At 50.5% G+C, this 10,199-nt stretch overlaps 1 annotated feature.

Annotated features, from left to right (window-relative positions):
* Positions 1,763–2,263: an enhancer, noted in NCBI's record as "H3K4me1 hESC enhancer chr5:139104350-139104850 (GRCh37/hg19 assembly coordinates)". NCBI's record gives its function as "activates a minimal SCP1, AML or CMV promoter by ChIP-STARR-seq in primed H9 embryonic stem cells {active_cell/tissue: H9 hESC(primed)}" and the evidence as "EXISTENCE:reporter gene assay evidence [ECO:0000049][PMID:30033119]".

Here is a 10,199-nt window from a genome sequence, read left to right on the forward strand (position 1 = left end):
GGACTACAATGGCTGGTAATGGCCCTAGTTCTGGGGTCCCCACCCTTTGAGCCTATACCCAGTCCTTAGAGGTGTAGGCCGAGGAGTGTTCTTTGTCAAGGTGAACCAGGCCCCTGTCTCTGGATGTATTTTTTATTTTATTTTATTTTATTTGAGATGGAGTCTTGTTCTGTTGCCCAGGCTGGAGTGCAGTGGTGAGATCTTGGCTCACTGCAGCCTCTGCCTCCCGGGTTCAAGCAATTCTCTGCCTCAGCCTCCCAAGTAGCTGGGATTACAGGCTCCCGTCATCACTCCTGGCTAATTTTTTGTATTTTTAGTAGAGACAGGGTTTCACCATCTTGGCCAGGCCGGTCTTGAACGCCTGACCTCGTGATCCACCTGCCTCAGCCTCCCAAAGTGCTGGGATTACAGGCGTGAGCCACCGCGCCTGGCCATTTTTTTTTTTTTTTTGAGACAGAGTTTCACTCTTGTCACCCAGGCTGGAGTGCAATGGTGCGGTCTCAGCTCACTGCAACCTCTGCCTCCCAGGTTCAAGCAATTCTCCTGCCTCAGTCTCCTGAGTAGCTGAGATTACAGGCGCCTGCCACCACGCCTGGCTAATTTTTGTATTTTTAGTGGAGATGGGGTTTCACCATGTTGGCCATGCTGTTCTCGAACTCCTGGCCTCAGGTGATCCATTTACCTTCTTCCAAAGTGCTGGGATTATAGGCGTGAGCCACTGCGCTCAGCCTGCCTCTGGATTTTTGAAGTTGGTCCTTACAGCTCCCTGTGAGGTGAGAACTATTCCTGTTTTATAGATGAAGATACTGAGACCCAGAGTCGGAGTCAGTCCCCTAAGCAAGTCAGCAGGGCAGTGCGAGTCTCAAACTCAGGGCTCCAGACTCCATGTTGATATTCTTTCTGCTAGAGACAGGTGTCTTCAGGTAATTTGAGAACAGAAGTCCTTTTTGCTTCCCTTCCCCAACCCTGGGTTGCCACAAACGTGAGACTAAGGACAGGTTAGGGGAGGATGCAGATCCTAAAAACCAACTCCCAATAGTAACACCAGTGTTAATTTAACAGCGGACGTGTATTGACAGCTCACTTTGTGCTGGGCATGGTGCTTCTGTGTGCATGTGTGTGCAACCTCAGAATCCTCCTCAACACAGTGCTTCAGACAGCCACTGTCAGCCAATGGGAAAAGACACAGGCCTGAAGTTCAGATCAGCCCATGGTAGTGAGCACCAGGCATGAGCCAGGCACTGGGGAGAACAAGGCCAGCATCTAGGAGGCAGATGTGAGACAACGGCGATAGTGTAGGGGAACAGCTAGACTGTGGGGACACAGACATGGGGCCCCTGATGTCAAACTGAAGGGTTTGACAAGAAAGGTTTCTTGGAGGAAGTGATATTTCAGCTGAACTTCTCTTAGGGGTTCCCCAAACCAGACTATGCCCCATCCTACCTCAAACCATCCATCCTCCAAGATGATGAGAGTTAGGGGTTCAAGAGGATTGAGCCAGGCAAAGAAGATAGGGTGGGAAGGAAGAGTTCCCAGTTCTAGGCTGGGAGAATAGCACCCCAGAGGCCTGAAGCAGGAAGGAGCCCAGCCTATCTGTGGAAGATGCTAAATGAGGCAGGGGGTGGAGTATAAGGGGGCAGAGAGAAGGGCAGGGGAGGGCATTCATTTAGGGCACTGCAGACCAGGAGAAGAGGTCTGGGCTCAACGTAGTGGCATGGGGGTCCACTGAGATAACTTCCCATCCCCCATCTCACATGTTACTTTCCTATCTCTAAGACCCTCTCACATCAGCCAGATTCACCCAATACTTCTTGGGAGTAGGTGGAGCAGGGGTCACCGTGGTCATTTTACGGATGAAGAAACTGAGTCTCAGAGGTTACAGTGCTGGTCTGCTTTGCCTGGCTGGTAAGAGGGGCAGTGGGCCTGGGTTCTGAGCCAAAGTTCTGGACCGTTCGCAGGACCATCAGTGTGGATTCTGAAGGATGGATGGTATGGAGTAGGGTAGGGCACAGTCTGGTTTGGGGAACCCCTAAGGGTGCAGAGGGAGGGTGAGGATCCCTGCCAAAGCTCCAGGCTGGAGGGGACTGCGTCCTCCTCCCTCCTGCAGTCCATCTCCAGTGGCCGGCTGGGGTGAGTCAGCCTGGATGAAGTCACCTACTTCCATGCAGACTGTGCCCCCTGACCTGGGAGGCGCCTGTCAGGGGCACCAGCCGAGACTGAGGACAGGCTGGGCAGCACTCCAGGTCGCTGTGTGGCAGCTGATTTAGGGGGCTGGAAATGTCCAGAGCCATCAGAAGCAGCTGGGCGTCTGGGGCCTTGAGGCCCGTAAGTCATGCTGCTGCCTGCCGTTCCCTGCATTGCTGTGAAGCCTCACCGGGGACTGGGCTCATCAAAATCAGTTTATGCCAAAGGAAATTAATTTTTGCCTCTCTGAGATGGGGTGTGGGGAAGGGAGGTCAGCTCCAGAGGCAGGCCTGTAACAGCACTGCAGGGAGGGGTTGGATACTACAGTGTGCCCACGATGGCACTGATCGAAGAGCCTCGGGGCTAGAGGGCCTGCCCATTCTACAGAGCGGGTGACTGAGGTTTCAAAGGAGCCTCCTAGTCTTTGGGACCAGAACCCAGATTTTGTTCTTTATTAATCTGTCTTTATTCATTTCTGTCCTCCTTCACTGCTTCTCTTCCTTCTTTCCCTCTCTATCTCCATAAGTATTTACTGAACACCTGCTATGTGCCAGGCACTGTCCTGTGTGGTAAGGACACAGAGATGCACAAGACAGACCAAGTCCTCCTCTCATGGAGCATGCAGTCTGGTTGGGTAAGACAGACTGGTCATAGCTAAATAAGAAAGTATCAGACAGGGAGGAGTGCTAGGTGAGCATCAAATTAGAGTGATGTGATGCGAGGCACAGTGGCTCACACCTGTAATCCCAGCACTTTGGGAGGCTGAGGCGGGTGGATCACCTGAAGTCAGAAGTTCGAGACCAGCCTGGTGAAACCTTGTCTCCACTAAAAATACAAAAATTAGATGGGCGTGGTTGTGGGTGCCTGTAGTCCCAGCTACTCAGGAGGCTGAGGCAGGAAAATCACTTGAACCTGGGAGCTGGAAGTTGCAGTGAGCTGAGATCGCACCATTGCACTCCAGCCTGGGTGACAGAATGAGACTCTGTCTCAAAAAATAAATAATAAAAATAAAAGCAAAAATTAGCTGGGTGTGGTGACGCACCTGTAGGCCCACCTATTCGGGAGGCTGAGGTAGGAGGATCGCTTGAGCCCAGGAAGTTGAGGCTGCAGTGAGCCATGATTGTGCCAGTGCACTCAAGCCTGGGTGACAGAGCAAGATGCTGTCTCAAAAAAAAAAAAAAAAAGATAAAACAGGAGATGTCAAAGAAACCTTCAATGAGGCAGCTGGCCCAGATCCAGGATCTCCTTCCACTCTTCTTGAGTCCCAGGCTTCTTTGTGGTGAAGGTGAGCAGCTGGGTCAGCGCTTTCCCAGCCCAGCTTTGCTTGTGTCCCTGTCTGTCAGGAGCCCTCAGCGGCTCCCCATTGCTCAGTAACAACAGTTCTCAGTTCTTGAGTGATTACCTTAGTCTGGGCATAGGGCCTTTTTGTGAATCCCTACAACAACCCTACTAGGCAGATACCATTATTATTTCCATTTTACAAATGAGGAAACTGAGGCTTGGAGAGAAGAGATTTTTGCCAAGGTACCTCAGCTGGTTGGTGACAAAGCCAGGATTCAGATTCGCTGGGCCATTAGTTGCCACTGCTGATAGAATGAAGTCCACTGCCTTCCCTGGAGTCGCAGCCTTGCTCTTATCTGCTCAGGACCCACTTTCCCACCATCCTGTGCTCCACAGACTGAACAAACAGCCACTTCCATCTCCCTAAACGCTACACAGGTTCCCACCTGAGAACCTTTCTTTGCCTGTGCTGTTCCCTCCACCTAGAGTCCCCTCGCCTCTTCACATAAGCAAGGGGGTGCCCTTTATCTCTTATGCCCCCACAATTCTATTTGTGAGGCTCTATGGCCCCTTATCACACACATTTTGTGTGCCCAGGGATTGGAGGTGTGACAGACTGGTATTTAGGTCTAAATCTTTTTTGTTTTTTTTTTTTTTGAGATAGAGTTTTGTTCTTGTCACCCAGGCTGGAGTGCAGTGGGGTAATCTCGGCTCCCTGCAACCTCCGCCTCCCGGGTTCAAGCGATTATCCCACCTCAGCCTCCCGAGTAGCTGGGATTACAGGTGCGCACTACTACGCCTGAGTAATTTTTGTATTTTTAGTAGAGACGGGGTTTCATCATGTTGGTCAGGCTGGTCTCAAACTCCTGACCTCGTGATCCGTCTGCCTGGGCCTCCCAAAGTGCTGGGATTAAAGGCGTGAGCCACCGTGCCTAGCCTTTTTTTGGAGATGGAGTTTCGCCCTTGTTGCCCAGGCTGGAGCACAGTGGCGTGATCTCAGCTCACTGCAACCTCTGCCTCCCGGGTTCAAGCGATTCTCTTGTCTCAGCCTCCTGAGTAGCTGGGATTACAGGTGCGTGCCACCACACCCAGCTAATTTTTTGTATTTTTAGTATAGACAGGGTTTCACCATGTTGGCCAGGCTGGTCTCGAACTCCTGACTTCAGGTGATCCAGCCACCTTGGCCTCCCAAAGTGCTGGGATTATAGTGTGAGCCACTGCCCTTTTGTTTTGTTTTTTTAAGAGACAAGGTCTCACCCTGTTGCCAGGGTGGAGTGCAGTGGCAGGATCTTGGCTCACTGCAACCTCAATCTCCCACGCTCAAGTGATCCTCCCACCTCAGCCTTCTGAGTAGTGGGGACTACTGGTGCGTGCCACCATGCTCAGCTAATTTTTTTTTTTTTTTTTGAGACGGTGTCTCACTCTGTCGCCCAGGCTGGAGTGCAGTGACGCAATCTTGGCCCACTGCAAGCTCTGCCTCCTGGGTTCATGCCATTCTCCTGCCTCAGCCTCCCCAGTAGCTGGGACTACAGGCGCCGGCCACCACGCCAGCTAATTTTTTTGTATTTTTAGTAGAGACGGGGTTTCACCGTGTTAGCCAGGATGCTCTTGAACTCCTGACCTCGTGATCCATCCGCCTCGGCCTCCCAAAGTGCTGGGATTACAGGTGTGAGTCACTGTGCCTGGCCTAATTTTTTTTTTTTTTTTTTGAGATGGAGTCTTGCTCTGTCGCCCAGGTTGGAGTGCATGGCGCGATCTGGGCTCACTGCAATCCCTGACTTCCGGGTTCACGCCGTTCTCCTGCCTCAGCCTCCCAAGTAGCTGGGACTACAGGTGCCTGCAAGCAAGCTCGGCTAATTTTTTGTATTTTTAGTAGAGATGGGGTTTCACCGTGTTAGCCAGGATGGTCTTGATCTCGTGACCTCGTGTTCCACCCGCCTCGGCCTCCCAAAGTGTTGAGATTACAGGCGTGAGCCACCGCGCCCGGCTAATTTTTATATTTTTTGTAGAGACAGAACCTCCGTATGTTGCCCAGGCTGGTCTCGAACTCCCAGGCTCAAGTGATCCTTTCGCCTTGGCCTCCCAAAATCCTGGGATTACAGGCATGAGCCACTGTGCCTGGCCTGGGGCCTGGATTTAAATCTTATTTGTATTACATATTGGCTCTGTGATCTTGGGAGGGCAACAAACTTTATAAGCCTCAGAGTTTTTGTTTGTTTGTTTGTTTTTTATTAATAAATTGGGGCTGTAGTGGGGAGCAAATAGATGATGAATTTAAAATGCTCAGCATAACTCAGGAGGCTGAGATGGCAGGATGGCTTGAGCCTAGGACTTCAAGGCTGCAGTGCATTGCCCTCCAGCCTGGGTGACAAAGCGAGTCTTTTAGGCTGGGTGTGGTGGTTCACGCCTGTAATCCCAACAATTTGGGAGCCCAGGAGTTCGAGACCAGCCTGGGCAACATAACGAGACCCTGACTCTAAAAAAATTAAAAAATTAGCCAGGCATAGTGGCATGTATCTGTATTCCCAGCTACTCTGGAGGCTGAGGTGGGAGGATAACTTGAGCCAGGGAGGTCAAGGCTGCAGTGACACATGATTGTGCCACTACACTACAGCCTGGGTGACAAAGCAAGGCCCCATCTTATTTTTCTTTTGAGACAGAGTCTCGTTCTGTCGCCCAGGCTGGAGTGCAATGGTGTGATCTCAGCTCTCTACAACCTCCGCCCCGCCATGTTCAAGCAATTCTCCTACCTCAGCCTCCTGAGTAGCTGGGATTACAGGCACGCACCACCACGCCCAGCTAGTTTTTGTATTTTTAGTAGAGATGGGTTTCACCATGTTGGTCAGGCTGGTCTTGAACTCCTGACCTCAGGTGATCCACCTGCCTTGGCCTCCCGAAGTGCTGGGCTTACAGGTGTGAGCCACTACGCCCGGCCGCAAGACCCCCTTTTTTTTTTTTTTTTTTTTTAGATGGAATCTTGCTCTGTCGCCCAGGCTGGAGTGCAATGGCACGATCTCGGCTCACTGCAACCTCTGCCTCCTGGGTTCAAGCGATTCTCCTGCCTCAGCCTCCTGGGTAGATGGGATTACAGGCACCCACTACTATGCCCCGCTAATTTTTGTATTTTTAGTAGAGACAGGGTTTCACCATGTTAGTCAGGCTGGTCTCAAACCCCTGACCTCAGGTGATCTGCCTGCCTCAGCCTCCCAAAGTGCTAGGATTACAGGCGTGAGCCACCACGCCCGGCCGACCCAATCTTTAAAGAAAAAAAATGAGCAAGAAGTTCACTGCTCCCTTGTAGGGTGGTCCTAAAGGATGGTGAAATGTGTCCAACATAGTGGGTATCCAACCCGAGAGGGCAGATCTAAGGGTTCATCACATCTCTCTTCCCCACAGGACCAGTCCAGGGCTTTGTGGCTTGGAGCATATTTTTTTAGTTGAAGTTGAGGTTGATTTACATTTCCAAGGATGTGGCCTGATTCAGTCCAGGCAGCCCTTGCACCCAGGTGGGGGAAAGGGAAATGACTTGAAGGTCCTTGGTGTTCATGAAATCTATTATCATCATAATAACAATAATTAATTTTTTGTTTTGAAATGGGGTCTCACTGTGTTGCCCAGGCTGACCTTCAACTCCTAAGCTCAAGAGATCTTCCCACCTCAACCTCCCCAGTAGCTGGGACTACAGTCCATGACACTGCACCCAGCTCAATAATTAATTGTTTTATATGGGCAACTGGCATTTTCTTCATTTTATATGAAGCATTTTAGAAAACGTTGCTATTTTTATTGATCTGTATAACCTTTTATTTAAGTACAAACAGCGGTTATACACATAGCTTCAAGCAAGGCCCTCAGCTCCCTTTCAAATAGACTGCTACCTGAAGTCCTTACTGAATAGGAATTTGGGAGCTGCCTCTGTCCAGCCACACACATGCACATACACATGCACGTGCACACATACACACACACACCCCCCCTCCATGAGGGTTGGGAAGACCTCAGCTCCTTTCATGGAGGTGTTGTCCTCAGTCACCTTCACAGATGACACCAGGTTTGAGTACCATTAACAGATGAGCTAACCCTTGGGTAGGCCGGGAAATATACACCTTGAAGTAGGAGATGGGACAGGGACTCCTCCTAAAGATCTGCAACCTGGCTGGACACCACGGCTCATGTCTGTAATCCCTGCACTTTGGGAGGCTGAGGTAGGTGGATCCCTTGAGTCCAGGAATTCAAGAACAACATGGTGAAACCCTGTCTCTACAAAATTAAAAAAAAAAAATTAGTCGCCTGTAATCCCAGCACTTTGGGAGGCTGAGAGGGGCAGATCACGAAGTCAGATTGAGACCCGTCCTGGCTAATATGGTGAAATTCTCTACTAAAAATACAAAAAATTAGCCGGGCATGGTGGTGTGTGCCTGTAATCCCAGCTGCTCGGGAGGCTGAGGCAGGAGAATCACTTGAACCTGGGAGGCGGAGGTTTTAGTGAGCCGAGATCATGCCACTGCACTCCAGCCTGGGCAACAGAGAGAGACTCCATCTCCAAAAAAATAAATAAATAAAGAATAAAATAAAAAAATAAAATAAATTAGCTGGGCATGGTGATGCAGGCCTATGGTCCCAGCTACTCCAGAGGCTGAGACAGATCACTTGAGCCTGGGAGGTTGAGGCTGCAATGAGCCATGATCGTGCCACTGCACTCCAGCCTAGGTGACGAAGTGACAAAATAAATAAATAAAAAATATTTGCAACATTTTTCTGCCCATTTTGTAGGGTGCTCACTCAGCCCAATTTCAGGGCTGGGAAGTCTGGACTGAAGTGCCAGGGGGGCCTATCCTGGGGCTATTTTTCTGGGTGTGGATATTGACAGCTTTAGAAGTGCAAGAGACAGTCAATGAGAGGCTGGAGCTTGGTTGTGTTTCCTGTTGGGGCCACAGCCAATGGAAGTAGGGCTTCTAGAGGAAGGGGCTCTGTCCAGAGGACAACACTGAAGTGTGAGCCCCGGCAGTCTGGCTGGTCCACCAAGTGCAGCTGCCCCTCTCCATCCACATCTCTCCACTGGCTGGGGTCTGAGCAGCAGTTTGGAAACCTTAGCTGGAAGCTAGAAAAACTAACCAGTTGGCTGGAAATTTGGGTATAAGAAGAGAACAATGGTGCTGCAGACCCGAAAACGACTCTCTCTTTTTGGTTCATGGTGCCTGAGAATCTCAAGAGACCCTTTGCCTGGAGGGACATGGAGACCTGGGAGCAGCTGGGCCTTCAGGTGTCCCTGTGGGCCTGGTAGTCTCTCCTTTTCTGCCTCCCCAGCTTCCCATAGCCCCAGGTACCCAGGGACAGCAGAGGCCTTGCAGCAAGTGGCAGAGCAGATGGTGTGTGGTGTGGGGAGGGGAGAGAGCTCCTTAGGCCTTTCTGGGCACCCCCTATCCCCTCCCACCTTGAGTAGTGGGAGTCCAGCCATCCTTCTTATGTTTTTGGTTATTCGGTCAATAACCCATGAGCCAGGTGTTCTGCTAGAGGCTGTACTCCTGGGACCCAGAAAAAATATATCCCTATGGGAACCCTCAAGCAGGTCACCATCAGAAGAAGGGAGCCAAACCAGTGACACCTGATGGATTTAGGACTGGGGATGCTCACAACAAAGGCTCCTGATCTGGTTTGAGAGGCTGGGGAAGGCTGCCTGAAAGAAATGACTTGCTGGGTTCCAATGATAGCCCTGTGACCTTGGAAGAGTTATTTAACCTTGCTGTGCTTGACTTTCCTCATCTTTAAAATGGGCATAATAAGGCCAGATACAGTGGCTCACACCTCTAATCTCAGCATTTTGGGAAGGCGAGATAGGAGGATTGCTTGAGGCCAGGAGTTCAAGACTAGTCTGGGCAACATAGGGAGAGCTCCCTCTCTAAATTAAAATTAAAATTTATTTTATTTATTTATTTTTTTGAGACGGAGTCTCACTCTGTCACCCAGGCTGGAGTGCAGTGGCGCGATCTCGGCTCACCGCAACTTCCGCCTCCTGGGTTAAATCGATTCTCCTGCCTCAGCCTCTCGAGTAGCCGGGATTACAGGCATGGGCCACCACATCTGGCTAATTTTTGTATTTTTAGTAGAGGTGGGGTTTCTCCATGTTGGTCAGGCTGGTCTCTAACTCCTGATCTCAGGTGATCCACACACCTCGGCCTCCCAAAGTGCTGGGATTACAGGCGTGAGCCACCGCGCCCGGCTAAAAAAATTTTTTTTAAATAGGCATCATAATAGTACTATTTCAAAGGTTGTTGTGAGGATTCAGTGAGTTAATATGTACATGTAAATCCACTAGAACAGTGCCTGGCACATAGTAAATGCTCTGTAAGCGTTAAATAAAATATAAAAACAGCTACCGGCGAGGCACAGTGGCTCACACTTGTAATCCCAGCACTTTGGGAGGCCAAGGCAGGTGGATCACTTGAGGTCAGGAGTTCGAGACCAGCCTGGCCAACATGGTGAAACCCCGTCTCTACTAAAAATACAAAAATTAGCTGGCCGTGGTGGCGCATGCCTGTAATCTCAGCTACTCGGGAGGGTGAGGCAGGAGAATCACTTGAACCTGGGAGGTGGAGGTTGCAGTGAGCTGAGATTGCGCCACTGCACTCCAGTCTGGGTGACGGAGCGAGACTCTGTCTTAATAAATAAATAAATAAATAAAAACAGCTACCACTTGGATGAGTCGGACTTGGCAATGGGTGAGAAAGCAGGTC

The sequence above is a fragment of the Homo sapiens genome, chromosome 5, assembly GCF_000001405.40.
Source record: "Homo sapiens chromosome 5, GRCh38.p14 Primary Assembly".
NCBI classification, from domain to species: Eukaryota; Metazoa; Chordata; class Mammalia; order Primates; family Hominidae; genus Homo; species Homo sapiens.